Source organism: Homo sapiens, chromosome 2, assembly GCF_000001405.40.
Source record: "Homo sapiens chromosome 2, GRCh38.p14 Primary Assembly".
NCBI classification, from domain to species: Eukaryota; Metazoa; Chordata; class Mammalia; order Primates; family Hominidae; genus Homo; species Homo sapiens.
Genome location: NC_000002.12, coordinates 209474408 through 209496376, shown reverse-complemented (window position 1 = coordinate 209496376; position 21969 = coordinate 209474408). Strand labels below are relative to the sequence as shown.

General features: G+C 37.9%; 1 protein-coding gene across 35 annotated transcripts in view, besides 1 other annotated feature; it reads right to left on the bottom strand.

Annotated features, from left to right (window-relative positions):
- MAP2 (microtubule associated protein 2) overlaps window positions 1-21969 on the bottom strand; it is a 310066-nt gene that overhangs the window by 237736 nt on the left and 50361 nt on the right. The window contains exon 2 of one of the 35 annotated variants that reach the window (NM_001375493.1): window positions 15025-15115. The exons of the other annotated variants lie outside the window; for them this stretch is intronic. The gene's annotated coding sequence lies outside the window, so the exon portion shown is untranslated. The remainder of the gene's footprint in view (window positions 1-15024; window positions 15116-21969) is intronic. 35 annotated transcript variants of the gene reach the window in all.
- Window positions 199-1398: an enhancer, noted in NCBI's record as "CDK7 strongly-dependent group 2 enhancer chr2:210359703-210360902 (GRCh37/hg19 assembly coordinates)". NCBI's record gives its function as "activates an origin of replication core promoter dependent on BRD2, BRD4, P300/CBP, MED14 and CDK7 cofactors, with strong dependence on CDK7, by STARR-seq in HCT116 cells {active_cell/tissue: HCT116}" and the evidence as "EXISTENCE:reporter gene assay evidence [ECO:0000049][PMID:35650434]".

The window sequence follows — 21969 nt, the reverse complement described above, 5'->3', positions numbered from 1 at the left end:
TTTGCCTTGACAGGTAGATATAACATTAATAGAGTGCTGGCTATGTGTAAGCCCATATTGTTCTTAATGAATGCCATACCCTGCCTGCCCAGACTGTGGGCTGCTCTGGGTCAATGACCCAGCAAATCTATGTTTGTATTCCAAGCACTTAGTGTGGTATACGGCACAAAGTCAGGAATCTATAAATGTGGAATGACTCACTCCCCAGAAAAAGAGGCTGAGTCATGAGCACTCCAACTAATTTCACCTCTAGACATTGTATTATTCATACAAAACATCATAGGAAGCGAGGCATGAGATAAGGCTCTTAATGGAATGTTCTGTACTCTGACATGTTTGCTGTAGCTGCCGTAACAATGCTGGAAAAGAAAGTTAAGGCTAAAAAGGCCAGTTACATGCTGGGAAATTGAAACTATTTCACCCATTTGCTGTCACAACACTGAACATAAAATGACTAGGTGATGCAGTAACTAGAAATAAATGTCAGTTGAAAATGAAGAACTTTCAAATGTCTAAATCATGGAATTTGTTTTATGAAGGCTAGAGTACCATTCTAATACAAAACAACAATTATAGGAAATGAGTAACAATTATAGGAAATGAGTATTAAGTGTTTAATACAACTCAATCATTCTACAAAGTTTGTCAGATGCATTATTGATTTAATCCTCACAAAGGCCAAACACAGCAGATACTATTTTTATTCCTAGGAGAAAACTAAGCTTATAAAGATTGAATATCCAGTACCTTTCTGTTTGTTAGTTTTCCTTCTGACAGTCAGGTCCCTCTTCTGCAGGTCTGCTGGAGTTTGCTGGAGGTCCACTCCAGACCCTCTTTGCCTGGGTATCACCAGCAGAGGCTGCAGGACAGTAAAGATTGCTGACTGCTCCTTCCTCTGGAAGCTTTGTCCCAGAGGGACACCCACCAGATGCCAGCCGGAGCTCTCCCGTATGAGATGTCTGTCATCCCCTACTGGGAGGTATCTCCCCGTTATGAGGCACGGGGGTCAGGGGCTCATTTGAGGAGGCAGTCTGTCCCTTAGCAGAGCTCGAGCACTGTGCTGGGAGATCTGCCGCTCTCTTCAGAGCTGGCAGGCAGGAACGTTTAAGTCGGCTGAAGCTGTACCCACATCCCCCTCTTCCCCCAGGTGCTCTGTCGCCGGGAGATGGGAGTTTTATCCACAAGCCCCTGACTAGGGCTGCTGCCTTTCTTTCAGAGATGCCCTGTCCAGAGAGGAGGAATCTACAGAGGCAGTCTGGCTACAGCAGCTTACGGCACTGTGCTGGGCTCCGCCCAGTCCAAACTTCGGGTGGCTTTGTTTACCGATGTCTTTTATTAAGGCAAAGAAATAACAAAAATCACAGATAAGGTGGAATATATACACATATATGGCCAGCATATATTATTTTTTCATCTTCTGTTTTTAAGTTTAGAGCACTGACAGATTTTCCTACCTATATAATTCTCTAAGGAGTTCTGGCATATTCAAATTCAGGCAGAAACAATAGGGGAAAACATGCTTTGAAGAAACCTGAAAACCAATGATAAATTTTTGAAATGAAAATATCTCAATCTCTTTTAGTTCTTTCTGTGTTTTCAGTGGGACAAAAACTTTGGAAGATGGCAATATTTATTTATTTGTTTTTTAAAGTGAAAGCAAGTCTATTAAGAAAGTAAAGGAATAAAGAATAGCTACTCCATAGGCATAGCAGCCCTGAGGGCTGTTGGTTGTCCATTTGTATGATTATTTCTCGATTATATCCTAACAAGGGGTAAATTATTCATGCCTCACCTTTTTAGACCATACAGGGTAACTTCATGATATTGCCATGGGATTTGTAAACTGTCATGGCGCTGGTAGGACTATAGCAGTGAGGATGACCAAAGGTCACTCTCATAACCATCTTGGTTTCAGTGGGATTTAGCTGGCTTTTTTTTTTTTTTAATTATACTTTAAGTTTTGGGATACCTGGGCAGAACATGCAGGTTTGTTACATAGGTATATATGGGCCACGGTGGTTTGCTGCACCCATCAAACAGTCATCTACATTAGGTATTTCTCCTAATGGTATCCCTCTCCTTGCCCCCAACCTCCCCAACAGGCCCCGGTGTGTGATGTTCCCTGCCCTGTGCCCATGTTCTCATTGTTCAACTCTCACTTATCAGTGAGAATGTGTGGTGTTTGGTTTTCTGTTCCTGTGTTAGTTTGCTGAGAATGATGGTTTCCAGCTTTATCCATGACCCTGCAAAGGACATGAACTCGTTCTTTTTTATAGCTGCATAATATTCCATGGTGTATGTATGCCAAATTTTCTTTATCCAGTCTAACATTGATGGGCATTTTGGTTGGTTCCAAGTCTTTGCTATTGTGAAGAGTGCTGCAATAAACATACAAGTGCATGTGTCTTTATGGTAGAATGATTTATAATCCTTTGGGTATATACCCAGTAATGGGATTGCTGGGCCAAATGGTATTCCTGGTTCTAGATCATTGAGGAATCGCCATACTGTCTTTCACAATGGTTGAACTAATTTACATTCCCACCAACAGTGTAAAAGCATTCCTATTTCTCTATGTCCTCTCCAGCATCTATTGTTTCCTGACTTTTTAATGATCACCATTCTAACTGGCATGAGATGGTATCTCATTGTGGTTTTGATTTGCTTTTCTCTAATGACCAGTGATGAGGAGCTTTTCTTCATATGTTTGTTGGCCACATAAATGTCTTACTTTGAGAAGTGTCTGTTCATATCCTTTGCCCACTTTTTGGTGGGATTGTTTTTTCTTGTGAATTTGTTTAAGTTCCTTGTAGACTCTGGATATTAGCCCTTTGTCAGATGGATAGATAGCAAAAATTTTCTCCCATTCTGTAGGTTGCCTGTTCACTCTGATGACAGTTTCTTTTGCTGTGCAGAAGCTCTTTAGTTTCATTAGATCACATTTGTCATTTGTCAATTTTGGCTTTTGTTGCCATTGCTTTTGGTGTTTTAGTCATGAAGTCTTTGCCCATGCCTATGTCCTGAATGGTATTGCCTAGGTTTTCTTCTAGGGTTTTTATGGTTTTAGGTATTATGTTTAAATCTTTAATCCATCTTGCATTAATTTTTGTATACAGTGTAACGAAGGGGTCCAGTTTCAGTTTTCTGCATATGGCTAGCGAGTTTTCCCAACACCATTTATTAAATAGGAAATCCTTTCCCCATTGCTTGTTTTTGTCACATTTGTCAAAGATCAGGTGGTTGTAGATGTGTGGCATTATTTCTGAGGCCTCTGTTCTGTTCCATTGGTCTATGTATCTGTTTTGGTACCAGTACCATAACATTTTGGTTAATGTAGCCTTGTAGTATAGTTTGAAATCAGGTAGCATGATGCCTCCAGCTTTGCTCTTTTTGCTTAGGCTATACAGGATCTTTTTTGGTTCTGTATGAAATTTAAAGTAGCTTTTTCCTAATTCTGTGAAGAAAGTCAGTGGTAGCTTGATGAGAGTAGCATTGAATCTATAAATTACATTGGGCAGTATGGCCATTTTCATGATATTGTTTCTTCCTATCCATCAGCATGGAATGTTTTTCCATTTGTGTGTGTCCTCTCCTATTTCCTTGAGCAGTGGTTTGTAGTTCTCCTTGAAGAGGTCCTTCACATCCTTGTAAGCTTTATTCCTAGGTATTTTATTCTCTTTATAGCAATTGTGAATGGGAGTTTGCTCAAGATTTGGCTCTGTGTCTGTCTATTATTGGTGTATAGGAATGCTTGTGATTTTTCCACATTAATTTTGTATCCTGAGACTTTGCTGAAGTTGCTTATCATCTTAAGGAGATTTTGGGCCTGACGATGGTGTTTTCTAAATATAGAATTATGTCATCTGCAAACAGAGATAATTTGACTTCCTCTATTCTTAAGTGAATACCCTTTATTTCTTTATCTTGCCTGACTGCTCTGGCCAGAACTTCTAATACTATGTTAAATAGGAGTGGTGAGAGAGGGCATCCTTTTCTTGTGCCAGTTTTCAAATGGAATACTTCCAGCTTTTGCCCATTCAGTGTGATACTGGCTGTGGGTTTGCCATAAATAGCTCTTATTATTTTGAGATATGTTTCATCAATACCTAGTTTATTGAGTGCTTTTAGCATGAAGGGGTTTTGAATTTTATCAAAGGCCTTTTCTGCATCCATTGAGATAATCATGTGTTTTTTGTCATTGGTTTTATGTGATGGATTACATTTATTGATTTGCATATGTTGAACCAGCCTTGCATCCAAAGGATGAAGCCAACTTGATCATAGTCGATAAGTTTTTGATGTGCTGCTGGATTTGGTTTGCCAGTATTTATTGAGGATTTTCGCATTGATGTTCATCAGGGATATTGGGCTGAAATGTTCTTGTTTAGTTGTGTCTCTGCCAGGTTTTGTTATCAGGATGATGCTGGCCTCATAAAATGAGTTAGTGAGGAGTCCCTCTTTTTTTATTGTTTGGAATAGTTTCAGAAGGAATAGTAACAGCTCCTCTTTGTACTTCTGGTATAAGTTGGCTATGAATCCATCTGATCCTGGGTTTTTTTTGGTTGGTAGCCTATTAATTACTGCCTCAATTTCAGAACTTGTTATTGATCTATTCAGGGATTCGACTTCTTCCTGATTTAGTCTTGGGAGGGTGTATGTTTCCAGAAATGTATCCATTTCTTCTAGATTGTCTAGTTTATTTGTGTAGAGGTGTTTTATAGTATTCTCTGATGGCAGTCTGTATTTCTGTGGGATCAGTGGTGATCTCCCTTTTATCAATTTTTATTGTGTCTATTTGATTCTTCTCTCTTCTTTATTGGTCTGGCTAGTGGTCTATGTATTTTGTTAATCTTTTCAAACAAACTAGCTCCTGGATTCACTGATTTTTTTGAAGGGTGTTTCATGTCTCTCTCTCCTTCATTTCTGCTCTGATCTTAGTTATTTCTTGTCTTCTGCTAGCTTTTGAATTTGTTTGCTCTTGCTTCTCTAGTTCTTTTAATTGTGATGTTAGGATGTCAATTTTAGATCTTTCCCACTTTGTCCTGTGGGCATTTAGTGCTATAAATTTCCCTCTAAACACTGCTTTAGCTGTGTCTCAGAGATTCTGGTACATTGTGTCTTTGTTCTCATTAGTTTCAAAGAACTTATTGATTTCTGCCTTAATTTTGTTATTTACCCAGTAGTCATTTAGGAGCAGGTTGTTTGGTTTCCCTGTAGTTATGCAGTTTTGAGTGAGTTTCTTAATCCTGAGTTCTAATCTGATTGCACTGTGGTCTGAGAGACTGTTATGATTTGTGTTCTTTTGCATTTGCTGAGGAGTGTTTTACTTCCGATTATGTGGTCAATTTTAGAATAAGTGCTATGTGGTGCTGAGAAGAATGTATATTCAGTTGATTTGGGGTGGAGAGTTCTATAGATGTATATTGGGTCTGCTTGGTCCAGAGCTGAGTTCAAGTCCTGAATATCCTTGTTAATTTTCTGTCTCCTTGATCGGTCTTATTTGACAATGGGGTGGTAAAGTCTCCCACTATTATTGTGTGGGAGTCTAAGTCTCTTTGTAGGTCTCTAAGAACCTGCTTTATAAATCTGAGTGCTCCTGTATTGGGTGCATATATATTTAGGATAGTTAGCTCTTCTTGTTGCATTGATCTCTTTACCATTACGTAATGTCCTTCTTTGTCTTTTTTGATCTTTGTTGGTTTAAAGTCTGTTTTATCAGAGACTAGGATTGCCATCCCTGCTTTTTTTTTTTTTTTTTTTTTTTTTTTTTTGCTTTCCATTTGCTTGGTAAATCTTCCTCCATCCCTTTATTTTGAGCCCATGTGTGTCTTTGCACACGAGATGGGTCTCCTGAATGCAGCACACCAGCGGGTCTTGACTCTTTTAACCAATTTGCCAGTCTGTGCCTTTTAATTGGGGCATTTAGCCCATTTACACTTAAGGTTCGTATTGTTACATGTGAATTTGATTTCCATCATTATGATGTTACCTGGTTATTTTGGCCATTAGTTGATGCAGTTTCTTCATAGTGTCGATGGTCTTTACATTTGGCTTGTTTTTGCAGTGTCTGGTACCGGTTTTTCCTTGCTACATTTAGCGCTTCCATCAGGAGCTCTTTAAGGCAGGCCTGGTGATGACAAAATCCCTCAGCATTTGCTTGTCTGCAAAGGATTTTATTTCTTCTTTGCTTATGAAGCTTAGTTTGGCTGGCTATGAAATTCTGGGTTGAAAATTCTTTCCTTTAAGAATGTTGAATATTTTCCCCCGCTCTCTTCTGGCTTGCAAGGTTTCTACAGAGAGATCTGCTGTGTCTGATGGGTTTCCCTTTGTGGGTAACCCAACCTTTATCTCTGGCTGCCCTTAACATTTTTTCCTTCATTTCAATCTTGGTGAATCTAACGATTATTGCTCTTCTTAAGGAGTATCTCTGCAGTGTTCTTTGTATTTCCTGAATTTGATGTTGGCCTGTCTTGCTAGGTTGGGGAAGTTCTCCTGGATAATATACTGAAGTGTGTTTTCCATCTTGGTTCCATTCTCCCCATCACTTTCAGATACACCAATCAATTGTAGGTTTGGCGTTTTCACATGGTCCCATATTTCTTGGAGGCTTTGTTCATTCTTTTTTATTATTTTTTCTCTAATCTTGTCTTCACGCTTTATTTCATTAAATTGATCTTCAATCTCTGATATCCTTTCTTCCACTTGATCAATTTGGCTACTGATACTTGTGTATGCTTCATGAAGTTCTCGTGCTGTGTTTTTCAGCTCCATCAGGTCATTTCTGTTCTTCTCTAAACTGGTTATTCTAGTTAGCAATTCCTCTAACCTTTTATCAAGGTTCTTAGCTTCCTTTCATTGGGTTAGAACATGCTCCCTTAGGTCGGAGGAGTTTGCTATTACCCACCTTCTGAAGCCTACTTCTGTCATTTCATCAAACTCATTCTCCGTCCAGTTTTGTTCCCTTGCTGGCGAGGAGTTATGATCCTTTGGTGGAGAAGAAGTGTTCTGGTATTTGGGACATTCAGCCTTTTTTCACTGTTGTTTTCCTCATCTTTGTGGATTATCTACCTTTGGTCTTTGCTGTTGGTGACCTTCAGATGGAGTTTTTGCTTGGTTGTCCTTTTTGTTGATGTTGAGGCTATTCCTTTCTGTTTGTTAGTTTTCCTTCTGACAGTCAGGTCCCTCTTCTGCAGGTCTGCTGGAGTTTGCTGGAGGTCTACTCCAGACCCTCTTTGCCTGGGTATCATCAGCGAAGGTTGCAGGACAGTAAAGATTGCTGACTGCTCCTTTCTCTGGAAGCTTTGTCCCAGATGGACACCCACCAGATGCCAGCCAGAGCTCTCCTGTATGAGGTGTGTGTCGTCCCCTGCTGGGAGGTATCTCCCTGTTAGGTGGCACGGGGGTCAGGGACCCACTTGAGGAGGCAGTCTGTCCCTTGGCAGAGCTCGAGCACTATGCTGGGAGATCTGCTGCCCTCCTCAGAGCTGGCAGGCAGGAACGTTTAAGTCGGCTGAAGCTGTACCCACATCCCCCCCTTTCCCCAGGTGCTCCGTTGCAGGGAGATGGGAGTTTTATTTATAAGCCCCTGACTGGGGCTGCTGCCTTTCTTTCAGAGATGCCCTGGCTAGAGAGGAGGAATCTAGAGAGGCAGTCTTGCTACAGTGGCTTTTTGGCACTGTGGTGGGCTCTGCCCAGTCCAAACTGCCTGGCAGCTTTGTTTACACTGTGAGGGGAAAGCCACCTACCCAAGCCTCAGTAATGGCAGACACCCCTCCCCCCACCAAGCTCGAGCATCCCAGGTTGATTTCAGACTGCTGTGCTGGCAGCAAGTGTTTCAAGCCAGCGGATCTTAGCTTGCTGGATTCTGTGGGGGTGGGATCCACTGAGCTAGACCACTTGGCTCCCTGGCTTCAGCCCCCCTTTCCAGGGGAGTGAATGGTTCTGTCTCACTGGCCTTCCAGGTGCCACTGGGGTATGAAAAAAAAAACTCCTGCAGCTAGTTCAGTGTCTGCCCAAACGACCATCCAGTTTTGTGCTTGAAACCCAGGGCCTTTGTGGTATAGGCACCCGAGGCAACCTCCTGGTCTACAGGTTGTGAAGACCATGGGAAAAGCGTAGTATGTGGGCCAGATAGCTCCGTCTCTCACGGCACAGTCCCTCAGGGCTTCCCTTGGCTAGGGGAAGGAGTTCCCTGACCCCTCGTGCTTCCTGGGTGAGGCGACACCCCACCCTGCTTCTGCTCGACCTCCATGGGCTGCGCCCACTGTCTAACTAGTCCCATTGAGATGAACCAAGTACCTCAGTTGCAGAAATCACACACCTTCTGCGCTGGTCTCTCTGAGAGCTGCAGACCGGAGCTGTTCCTGTTTGGCCGTCTTGCCCAGGAATCCAGCAGTATTTATTTTTTAAAGAAACTTGTTGTCATTACCTCAAAGATGTATGGCAAAAAGTTCTTACATATTCCCAACCAAGTTCCTTTTGTTTTTCCTTCTTTTTAATTTTTATTTTATCTATGTTAGGTATATAAATAGTTTAAGAGGCTACCTTACTCAAGGTTTATGATAAAAACAGCAATAAGAAGTATGAGTTATTTGAAGGTTAAAATGCATCTGAATAATGCTGTATTTATGTGGATAATGAAGTAAGAGAGTTGAGTGATGAATCTGCAAAAGCCCCTAAGCTTATTTTTATCCATTTATTCAAATCATTTGTCTTCAAAGTCTGAGTTTTTCCTTGAAATGCCTTTATGGTTAACTGAATGCATTATTAATTATTTGTTGAAAATCTTTCATGGAACATCTTCTCATTAATACTCAGATTTACAACTGAGCTTTGTAAACATGTAGGATAAACCTGAGGCACATGTCAGGCAGGCAGCTGTGTCTAACATTGGGGTGCTTTTAAGATTAATACCACAACCTAGATTTTCTCCAGTTTGGAAAGTACACATCCTCCTAGGCCTACCAAACCATCATTTTGTCATCTGAGTGAAACCTGAATTTCAAAGGAATGTACAGCTATAGGCAATCCTTGACAATAAAGCAAATCTGTTCCCCAAAGCTCTAATTTCCTGAAAGCTTTGGCAATGCACTACTAATAAGCGAAAACGGAGCATTCCACAGATTTCTGGACCCACTTCTCTGAGTCAGAGGCTTTCTCTCGGGTGAGTCCAGGTGTAGGTAACTCCTTCTGTGTTGCTGTTATAACTAAAGTTCTACATAATTTAATAAATAAAATTGCAAATCCCCAAAAGAGGTATATGAGAATTGACTTCAGACCTATTTATCATAAAGTATATTTTCATACATTTTAATATTATCATTGCATTTCATGTTACATAAAAGGGACCAAAAAACGGTCAGAATTCTAATGGAATCTATACACTACAAAAGGAAATCCCATGTCTGGAACAAATGTAGCTGCAGCAAAAGTTAGGGTTTCCCATAAGTCTGAAAATATTAATCTATGACACAGATCTGCTGTTAATCCATGTTACATATTAAGTACTTCCTCAGATTCCATTATATTTCAACTGTACTAGTCAAGAGTTAATGCTTTAATTTTCCCCTGAAGTAGCACTGGAGCAGAAAGTATTATATTGGAATGAAAATAGCTTAAATCAACTTACATTTTCCCCTATAATTCACCTATAAACAATCTTATATTTGTAATTTTTCAATAACGTATTTAAAACCACAAGCAAAACATTACAAATGATGGTTAAATTTCTGATCTGACCAATTTCATCTTTAGTATAATTGAAGTGGTGCTGAACACCTAAATAGAATGTTTACAGCCTGACTGTGAACCGAGACATATCTGCATCTTTATTCTACTGTAAGAAAGTTTTCCCTAGGCTGGGTGTGGCGGCTCATGCCCGTAATCCCAGCACTTTGGGAGGCTGAGGCGGGTGGATCATGAGGTCAGGAGATCAAGACAATCCTGGCCAATATGGAGAAACCCCACCTCTACTAAAATACAAAAAACTAGCTGGGCATGGTGGCGCACTCCGGTAGTCCCAGCTACTCAGCTGGGGCAGGGGAATCACTTGAATCTGGGAGGCAGGGGTTGCAGTGAGGTGAGATCGCACCACTGCACTCCAGCCTGGTGACAGAGTAAGACTCCATTAAAAAAAAAGAAAAGATTTCCCAAGCAAATAGAATATACAAGCAAGTTAGTTATTCATTCTTTTAACTAATGTTTTTTGAAGACGTGCTTCAGGGCAAGGCAGATACTTTTCTAGGAACTGGGATATAATGATGGTGAAGAAGTTGTCAACAAGGTTCCTGCACTTTTGAAGCTTATATTCCTATAGTGGAACACAAATACTTAAGAGAATGATGACTGCTATGAAGAAGATAAAGCAGGGTATGAGGTTAGACAATGAATGGTAGTTGGGAGCTTTCTCCATCCCCAATTTAAGCAACAAGAAAGAAGCAGAAGCTGAAAAGACATTTATCACAGCAAGAAAGCTAGGCCCTAACCTTCTGCCCTTTCAGAAGGGAACATTTCCAACTAACAGATCCCTGATCTACAACTATCCAGCCACAGATTAATCACAGGAGTGTTAAGTTAGAAAGTGCAAATGACAAATTCATGTGAATTTTGAATGTGCACAAAAATATTTGGAGACTAGTGTGGGATTATAGTAGCAGTGTTGGTGCCAACACTAAAACTAACAGCTTATATCTGTTGGTCTTCTAGTTCTTCCACATAGAAAGTCTTGCTTAGTTCTATAAGCAAACATACCTCTGTTGGCCTAGATTTATCTGGCTCTGATTCATCAGCGTGACACCTGCTTCCCAACGACAGGTAATCTTTGGTTATGGGCTATCCTCAATTGTTTGCTTGACAAAGTGTCAAATGTCATGCAGGAGAAAACAATCCAGAAATAAAGGAAAAGAAATGACCTAATTTTTGAAATCCTCATTCAATAAAGTGTTTTCAATAATAACATGTATTTTATTTCCAAACTTCTGACACAATAAAAAAAAAAGTTATAGGAGGTGGGGCTTATAATCCACCTCTAATGAATTGATTAACTCTTCTTGTTTGAGCCAAGCACAAAATTATTTAAAGTACAGCACTGATTAAATTCCTGTTGGTACATAAATCTTCAAACAGTTAACAGAGAGGGAAATAAGCTTTGACAGCAGTCTGGTACCACCAAAACGCTGCCCAATGTGACTCACATGAAGACAGTCAGAATCAGTCTGTACAGAAGGTCAGCCCGTCACCTCTAGGAGGACTCAGCATTTGATGAATCTAGTGCCACAGCAAAGAAACTATAGACACGCTCCAGCAGTTACAGAAAGTTAACAGGCCTCTCCCTGTCTGTAATGAGCAGCTCAATTACTAACTTCTGTTGTGTGTCTGCCACAGTTGCAGACATGGTGCACAACTGCTATCGCGTTTCTATCGGCCCGATTTCAATGTGCCTTTGGGACCAGAGATAGCACATTTAAGTTCTTTAAGAAGATTTCTTTTTTCACTATGGCTAATAGTTGACAATAGACAATAGTTTAAATAATTGAGGAGGCCTTATTTTCTAGCCAGTCTCAAATCAAGAAGGCCAGGTTATTTAAAAGGCAGAATAAAAGCACAAAATAAGTATTTGCTGACTTGCAGTAATTTGCCCCCAAGCAAATTCATTGAGAAAGATATGTTTTTTGTTTGTTTGTTTGTTTGTGATGGAATCTTGCTCTGTTGCCCACGTTAGACTGCAGTGGTGCAATCTCGGCTCACTGCAACCTCCACCTCCCGGGTTCAAGCGATTCTCCTGCCTCAGCCTCCCGAGTAGCTGGGAATACAGGCGCCTGCAACCACGCCAGACTAATGTTTGTATTTTTAGTAGAGACAGGGTTTCATCATCTTGGCTAGGCTGGTCTCGAACTGCTGACCTGGTGATTGACCCACCTCGGCCTCCCAAAGTGCTGGGATTACGGGCGTGAGCCACTGCGCCTCGCCATCAAATACATTTTCTTTGACTTCTTGGTAATGCCTCGGCCTCCCAAAGTGCTGGGATTACGGGCGTGAGCCACTGCGCCTCGCCATCAAATACATTTTCTTTGACTTCTTGATAATAAAATATAAACCACTGACCACCTACCACTAAACGTTCAGTGCTGTAAAAAGTCAGTCTGTGCCTTTCTACTGCACTCAGGGGGAAGTCAATTTACTAAGTCAACACAAATGGCCCTCACAAGTTAAAAATCATTTTTTTCAAATGCAAATGCATTTTCTTTATATTGTTCTTAGAAGAAATAGAGGAGGTAAAGATTTTTACCTCTATTTTTTTAACTAAGGAATCAAGCTTAAGGAAATTTAAGAATGTTCTAGAGTTGTCTAACATATCAGAAGTTCAATGAGATACAGCTCCCAGCTCCCTGCAGGGATGATAACCTGGGTAAAGCTAAAGGAACTGGCAGAAAATGGATTCAAATCAATCCTCTGGAAGTGCTCTGAGGCCTCTAAGAAAATTTCTCCCAGCTGTCACCCACCTTTCCTGGCTCCATGTGTCCCATTTAATCTTCCCCATGATGAAAGGATGGATGAAAGTAAATGGTGTGTGCTCTTTAAGGCAAAAGATGCTCATGTGACTTGAAAATTTTTCCAAAAACTAACACAAACTCTGGCATTGTCACAAGCAAAACTGAACAGTAAATTATTACACTTTTGCCTCCAATTTCAAAAATCATTTTTCTTGTAGATAAACAAGACCCATAATAGGTAGACTATATCGACAAAATACAATAAAGAATTTTAAAAACATCTTTTACAAAAATTAAATTAAAAATTTTTAAGAGATGGAGTCTCGCTCTATCAGCCAGGCTGGAGTGTGGTGGCAAAATCATAGCTTAGTGCAGCCTCAAACTAGTAGTCTCAAAGGATCCTCCAGCCTCAGCTTCTTGACTAGCTGGGTCTACAGGCACAGGCCACCATCACTGGCTAATTTGTTTTATTTTTCTAGAGACAAGGTCTTACTGTGTTGCCCAGGCTAAATACCTTTTTTTAAACAAAGGGTAATTGTACCATTGAATCTAGGTATCAGTAATAAAATAAACATTAAAACAAGGTACACTTTATAACACTCACATTCTTCTCTTCTTTCAGACATTTCATTTTTCTGTATTCACAAATTGTCTTTGATCAACATGTATTACAGCCAATAATAAAAGTATAAGCAAACATAATTTGTTTCTCTGTGGTGGCTGCACAAAATTCATGTTAAGAAAATATTTCTAAATGCAGAATTTCAGATCATGTTTACAGTCATTAGTGTTGTATGAATAATCTAGATTTAGCAAAGCCCTGAGGACAATTTCAGGACTTTAGTTCTAAACTCAGCGCTTTGTTAACATATAATGTCATGTTCTAAAAAAGATACTAAAATCTACTTTGCCCTAATCAATAGGACAGCTGTAGGAATGACAAGATAAAATGCAGTATAAGGCTGTAATATTTCATAAAAACAGACAATGATTCTGTAAAATGCAGAGAGTTCATTTAAACAGACCACTATCATGTAGTATATTAGTATTCAGATTTATTTACTACAAATATTGTTTAATCTTACAGAAACAGGCAAAAATTCAAGGTAGTTGGTAGAATGGAAGGAGCTGAGGCCATGTGTTTGAATCCTAAGACTTTTTTCTATCAGTTAGTGTTTAAATATGTCTGAGTCTCAGTTTTTTCATCATTAGAATGGGGGTAATAATTTCCCAGAGTTCTTTGAGATAATCAGATAATGTGTGTTAAAAGCCTATCAGAAAGTTTGGTATAAAATGGAGGTTTAATTCTTCATTCAGTAATATGTTTGCAAAAATCTGCTCACTTCCTATGACCAACAATATATCAACCTGAACACATATTGCCACACGTGTCAAAGGGGAAAGAACTGACATAGCTTTTAGAGAGGCTGACTCTGACAGGTTAAAATTAACTGAATTAACTGAAGTCAATGCTGCTGACATTGGATTTCTGATGGTGACATTATTTCACTGAATTTTAACCTTAATTCTCATGATGACTGTGAGTTTTTTTTAAATCAGCACAGTTAACTTACTGACAGTCATTTATGCAAACATTTTTTCATGTCTATATTGTGTAATGTTGGATATCTATACTGTATGAGATAGAAAGCAAGCATAGCACTCTGCCCTCAGAGAGTTACTATTTAGTAAGAGAGCTAAGACACATGATCAGTCTCTACAACAGAACTACAAATAATACTTTTTAAGTAAGAATAGTGAAGTGTCAACACTGATTCTACTGCTGTCTTTGAGATTTTGGTCTAATCATCCCAGCTTTTCCTAGTGTGCATTCTCTTCTAAGATGTTCTACTTAAAAAAAAAGAAGTTCCACGGTAAAATCAATGTATACATACACATAGGAATACATTATTCTGAAATAAATGAAGAGAATGCTCGTGTATTTTAACTCACAAATAACTGTAACATCATCAACTCTATATGAACAGAAGTTTGTGGAAGCTGGCTGTCCTTTCATGTATGCTACGTGGTGAGCTAATACATGCTCAATAACACAGAAGAAGAGAGGTTTAGGGATAAAACATATCCAAATTCTATGTTCTGAATAAAAATGTATTCTACTATCATAATTCCCTTTATTCAGAAACCTAAAGACAAGCTGGCTTCATAGTTAAGTGACCTAAGGCAGAGGTTGTCATGTATATCTCAGTTCAGCATTTCCCTTCCTTCATCTGCAGTCAAATTCATCTTTTTTTGTGGGGAGCCAATTTTATGTGATTTAGATGTGGTTGACCACACACAGTCCAATCCTACCCCAGCCTCAGCCATAGGATAGTATAGGTCAATCCATGGACTCCATTTCTTGGGGACATTGATTGGTTGACAGCTAGGAATTCAGGCCATATTAGGATGGAGTGGCACTTTGGTGTACCGCCCAGTCCCCCATCAATGAAACAATGTCCTAGCCACAGGAAGTTACTGTCAGTAGAGAAAGCTCAGTAGTTGGGCCCCTTCAGAGATTGCCTTCCTTTACCTGGGTAGCCCACATCCAGTGATGGATCAATGCAGGAGTATGAAGGCTGAACCATCTTCACCCAATAGGAGGCAAGCTGAAAAGCATTCTTCTGTTGGGAGATGTTGTCACTGGGTTGCAAAGCAGCTCAAGTTCTCCCTCTGCCCATTCCTGTTTCCTTCTCCTTCCCTTCCATGGACATTTATCCCAGGAAACATTCAGTAAGCTACACTCTGTGTCAGAGTCAGTCTCACGGAAATTCAGTTTGTAACACAAGCCAAAAAGAGTCTTCCCTGATACGTGAAGGCTGTACAGGAGATGGTCTCTTTTCCTCTCAGTTAACTACATGTAACAATCTTGTAACCTCGAAGGTACTGGTACCTCTTTTCACCATGGAGTAAGAGCCTTATGATGAACCCAGCATTTCCAGATGAAGCAGAGCAGGGAAATGGAGAGAAAATGAGACGAAGAGTGGGAGGGAGGGAAACAATGGGATGGAGAGTGAGAAAGAGAAAGAGAAAGAAGGAAGAACAAGACTAAGCTAATGATTACAATGGTAAACCTGGTTCCTGCCATCCCTATACCAACAGGACTTCTGGACTTTTTATATCGTATATGCATTAATATTTTCGTCTAAACTCTTTAAAATTTTTTCTATTTACAGGTGAAAGAGCCTGATTATTATAGATAAATACTGATATCAAATCTTATTATTAACCTCAAACAACACAAAATGACTGATACATAAAGCAGCATCATGTTTGGCAAATCCTGCTCATGGACTAGAACATACAGTATGTAGTAAAGAAAACAAACAAACAAACAAACAAACAAACTTTAGATCATCTTAATTGCAAGTTACTAAGGAAAACAATGTGATTCCAACAACAAATAAAGTAATGCTAGCTTGTAATCATCTTTAAATATTTTTTCCACGTATCCACAGACTCAGCCAGAAATTCAACACTATTCAAAATTAAATGTGTAAGAACAAAAAGTGTACAATGGCCTTATTGTTCCTTGTGTAAACTAGAACCTAATAGTTTCCCTCCGAATGGAATAAAAAGTCCCAGTTAATAAAGCTAAAGGGTATAGTACTAAGTGGAGTCTACTAGTCTAGTAGACTACATTATTATATTCTAAAGTTCTATTTGTCACTCTCCTAAGAAAGACCCTCATCCTTGGCAGAACATTATCAAGCTCTCCCTCTTTGACACAGTGACAGTCTACTGATTTCATATTAACTACTCTTAGTCAATGTGCATATTTAGCTAGAAGCCTATCAGCTATTTGAGTATGTACATTATTAGGTAAGGAATGATGAGGAAAATTGTGAAAAATGTCAAATGCAGCTCAAACTGTCACATTTTAATTAAACAAATTGATGTGACTTATTTAAGTAAAACATGGGAAACAGCAGCAATAAAACACATTTATAGGCTCAGTTGTGCAAAACCATTTGAGCTTTCTACTAGCAACTCAATTTTATTTTGATGCATAATTTGAAAACAGTTGAAATGTTCGGCTATTATATCTGCTAAGGCTGAAGAAAGTTATAATTTACCAAGTCTTTTAAAATGTAATTTAAAAACTTTAAATTTTTATTTGACACTTTTATTTTTGGTAATAAACACAGGACTAAAAATATTGTTTTATGTAGTTCAAAATTGTGCTATTTTCTATCTCAAGCCAGGGGTCAGGTACACTGCATTTAATTACAGAATCTCTGAATTTTTCTATAATTTGTTGGCTTATTCATATATCTCGCCTTTGGTTCTGAGAATGCTGAAATCAACATTGTTACTATAAGATTTAGAAATTAATGAAGCAAATCTAACTACCATGTTATTGTGAATTTCCGATTTCCAGCTCATTCTTTACTTACTGCCTAGCCCTAGACAATTGATCAAAAATGTATCTTTATTATCATAGTTCCTATCTATTAAGCAAATAGTAATATGACAAAATATAATTGCATTAATAGACTAATGTAAATGTCAGTGAAGTTCTGGTAATGAAATTTTATATAAGTGATGCAGAGTATTAATATTTCAGCAGGTTCCTATGCCAATTTCAACAAAACCCCACAAAATCCCTTCTTTTGTTAATTTTAATTAAATACAGAACCTTATGAAAAGGAGAGATATATGTTTTTTGCACAACCATATAAGGAAAAAATTGATCAATCTTAAAAGAGAAACCAATGTATTTTCCATGGTAGAAAATACTCCATGTTTACTGAAGTCCAACTCTGGAAGAAAAAAAATCACTTGCTTTTGTAATTTGAAAATGAATACACATAGGCTAACACATTAGAAATGAATATTTACTTTATTCATTGTTTAAAACAGTTTCTTAATTGATTCTCAACAAATAAAACTACTTAAATGAAGGCAGGCCAATAAAACTGTGTGACTGGGTAAATGTTAGACACCTTTTAAAAAAGTTGTTTCAAACCCTGGAAGAATCTATACAGCCTATTTAATTCCATCCTATTTCATTAGAGGGAGAATGTCTGATGAAAATACGGGCAATTTCCTTCAAATTTAAAACAAATATCACAAGACATCAATTAAAACATTTCTATTTAGATAATTAAATCTAGAGTGGAAATGGGAGACATATCAACAAAATAAAAATGCGGAACCTTATAGTGAGTTGAAGATAGCAGTCACTAGAAGTTGGTATTTTAATAATGTATGATAAACATCAAAAACCTAAATTATTTATGTATGCCTGCCCTACATATATTTAGAAAGTGGACTCTGCAACAGGAGAGTCGCAGCAGCTGTGATGTGCTGGGTGTCCATGACACAACTATGTTATCTCTTACTGCTCCTGTTTCACGTTCTTCTATAGTGAGGTTTTGTAAATTGTATTTCAAATATCCAGATACATTTTCAACTTGGCAGTAGTAAACATTTGTCTTCAATTAGATAATTAAGCTAATAATCACTGAGTGCTGCTCTATGCTGGGAATTCTTTGGATGCGTTAACTCACATAGTTTTTAAAATAAATGTATGAGGTAGATAATATTATGGTTATCTCCATTTTAAAGATAAGGACATCAGGCACAGAGAGTCACTTGCTAAGGGTCACAGGAGATAGCATGATAGGGATTTTAAACTGGACTGCTTGATTTCAGAGGCTGGGTTCCTAACCACTAAAATTGATGTCATTCTCTTACAGGTAACTAGCAATAATGACGTGTTTACCAGAATTTTTTGTTTGTTTGTTTTTCATTCTATTTTCCCCACACCTAACTGATCCTAATCAGGTGCTACAAAACTTTAGCCCAAGTAGCACTTTCTTAATACAATAGAATAAGAGTAATCTACCAGTATTTTTAGTATCTTTATTTTATTTTTTGAGACAGAGTCTCGCTCTGTTCCCCAGGCTGGAGTGCAGTAGCCCTATCACAGCTCACTGCAGTCTCAATCTCCCAGGCTCAAGCCATCCTCACACCTCAGCCTCCGCAGTAGCTGGGACTACAGGCATGCACCACCACACCTGGCTTTTTTTTTTTTTTTAATATTTTGTATAGAGGAGGCCTCACTTGTGTTGCCCAGGCTGGTCTTGAACTTCTGGGCTCAAGTGATCCTCCCATTTTAACCTCCAGAGTAACCAGGATTATAGGCGTGAGCCACCATACCCAACCTTTAGTATTTTCAACATCAGAACTGTCAGAGTGGAGAGACAAAGAAGGAAAAATGTTAGAAGGGATGCAGAGAAGGGGAGAGAGAGGTAGGGGGAAGAGAAGAAAGCATAGGTAGAGATTAAGACAGACTTAAATATCCATTTAAAATTATTTCCCTTTGGTTAAAGAATAGCCTAATGTTCTTTATTGTGCCCTCCACTAAAGACAATTGTAAAGGGTTTTAGGAATAGCATGAACCTTTCACACATGTGGCTAAAGCAATGGAAAGAAAAAAAAATCATGATGTATTCTTTATTGTCATTATTTTTAATTTTTTTTAATAGAGCCATATTTATGTACTACAGTTTGACTTCTTCATATTTCATTTTTGTGGCTTTTTTTTCAATATAACATTTTCTTTTGAAATAGTTTAAGATTGACAAGCAGTTACAAAGTGGCCCAGGCTATGGCATACCCTTCACTCAGCTTCCCCAATTCCATCGTTAATTTTTTGTATATGAAAAAGTGAATGGATCACTTTCATTGTTTCCAAATCTTCTGAAAAGCACAGAAACTAACACTTGTGCAGTACGCACACCAATGGCCTGCAAGGTGGCTCTGTTGCAAGACTCTTGATGAAGCTTGGGGAAGACGTCATCAAACTCTGGACTTGAATGTTAAACCTGCTGGCAGCCTGCCCTCTCACAGTATGGTCTTCGTCATGGGTGCCAACAAAACTTGGCCTTGTTTAAAAAGAAAAATAGCTCAGCCAATCTTTGTGATGAAGGTTTTGAATGCTTAACTGAATTCAATTAGGACAGGAAAAAGGAATTGCCTTTACATGTGCAGAATAAAAAAATCTGTTTTTATTTTTTTTCCAAAGAGCTCACTTTTCTCAAATGAGAAAATGAAGTTTAATTTAGTATAAGAAAGATCAATTGTAATAAAGAAAACTTAAAAGGCTTTGTGTCAAGACGGATTATATTCAAAAGCAATATTTAGGTGATGGGTTAAGAGAACAGCTGGCACAATTAAGGCCTGAATGTGCACCCTGTGGTTGAGAAGAAAATGAAGAGCACTTAATCATATGGACGTCGTATATTTTTCAAGACATAAAACCTCTAATGTTGCTTTTCCCAGACCAAGGTTGGTGAAAAAGCTTGGAGACTGTTTTATTACATTGGGCTTTCTGCCCAGTTTTAATCACCATTAGGGAAATAGGGCTCTGACCAGGATACTATATTTCACTTTCAGGATGGCTAGTGGCAAGTAGCATTGTATTTCCTAAATTACAGCCTGAATTATACGTATAGCAGAATGATGAAAAAAAAAAAAAAACTAAGAAAAACAAATCGTGGGGAGGACTACTACAGGTTTGACTAATTTACCACTTTCTGTAAATGGATCTCTTTCTTCAGCGTCGGTTTACTGAGATGTTTAATTCCAAAGTATAGGAAACAATCTTATGTCAGAGGTCAATAGATCTTCTTTCCAAGTGACTGCTATCACTTTGAGATGGACAGAACTCTCATTTCCAAAACTAGGATCCACAATCATGGTCTCGAGAAGGCTTTGGCTTAAAATTCATACCCATTTTTAAAGTATTTTCTAAATGTTTATTCTAGATGCACCTTCCTCTATTCTGGATGATAAGAAACTTGTTTTGTTTTTTTTTAAGATGAGAAGTTCCCAGAATAGTAAAATACATTCAATCTAAAATTTAAAAAAGCATTTTGAGTTATATTAAAATTGTCTTCTCTGAAAGAGAGAAATGGAAAGCTTTGTCTAATAAACATTCAGCATGTACCAACTGACCTCTCATCAGTTTTTCCTAGAGAAAAGAAATTTACAGTTTTTCTAGAGACTCTTCATAGAAGGTTCTGGAATACTGCTAAACTGTGATCCACCGTGTTCATATTTCTTGTACTTAAGTACTATAAATATATTCCATACAAGTTGACATAATTACATAGTGTTAAAGTTAAATATGCATTAAAAACTAGAATACATAGATACAAAGATTGATGCTTATTTAAAATTGACACATTAATAGAACAGTAGTTCAAATAGGCTGAATTTTTTTATTGCCTGCTCTTCAAACAAAAAATGGTTGTTTCCTACTTGAACATAACAATATTGATTTGACCCCTAAGCTGTACTTCACTATTTTATATAATTTCTGATTTTACATTTTATGAGGCTTTTCCTCTCATATGTACCCTTAGATGAAATAGTAATATCTCTGCTAAACATTTATTTCTAAATGTTTTTATTTTTTCAAATACTATGTTTTTCCCTAATGTTATAAAGTAATGCAGTTTCAGGACAATTGCACTGAGCAGAGATGAAAGGGAGTATTTGGCCTTTCAGTTCAGAGTTGTATACAGTGGCTTAAATAAATAAAAACAAGAGGAGAACTCTATACACAGTTTATATATTTTTACCATGAGTAAAGACAAAATCTTACAAGTATGCATTTTTAAGAACTGATCAGAAGATGGTTTTACATTCACTGACTTGTGATTTGTGTACGTGTATAAACACACAGTAGGATGTTACCATTTTTATGTAAACTTCATGACGGGAGCAAATTACTTTACTGTAACAGATTGTGTTTAAAGATATCTAACTATAAATCAATTTTCCAGACTGCAGGATTAAGACAAGAAATGGAGCTAAAACTCATTCCTCTTCATACACATAGAAAATTATTAGGTAGGAAAAAAATGCTTTCACCCAATCAAGAATAATACTAGAGTGAAAACCCATTACTTGCAAAAAGTGAAAAAGATATTTGAAATTATCTCTGGCAGGAGGGAGAAGATAAATCCTGACCAAATTGGATTCAGAAATAATATTGTTGAATTGAGAAAAATATATATGTTTTCCTCATGCCTATTTATAGATTTAAATTGTTTGCATATATGTATGCATATAGTAACAATCTCCATGTATTTTACTCACTGTGTAGTAAAATACGGTTTTATTTTATTTGCCTGAAAATCACCCATTTCGAGCTTTAAGTAGCACCCATTTGTCCTAGTATTTGTGGTGTAATAAAGTTATACTTTGTTACTTATACGAACAGTTAATTTTTGTAATACATACACATACACACTCATATATAATATACTTCTCCCCTCTCTTTCTTTCTTATAACAATACTGATCTTCAAAGCAGGAGATTATGGAATATAATGGTCCATACTATTATATTAGAATGTAATGGAATACTATTTGTCAGAAACCAGCATTGAGAATCTGCTTTTATAGACTGTGCATTGTTCCTGGGCTGGTGGAATAAGCAATAAATAATTATTTTAACAGCG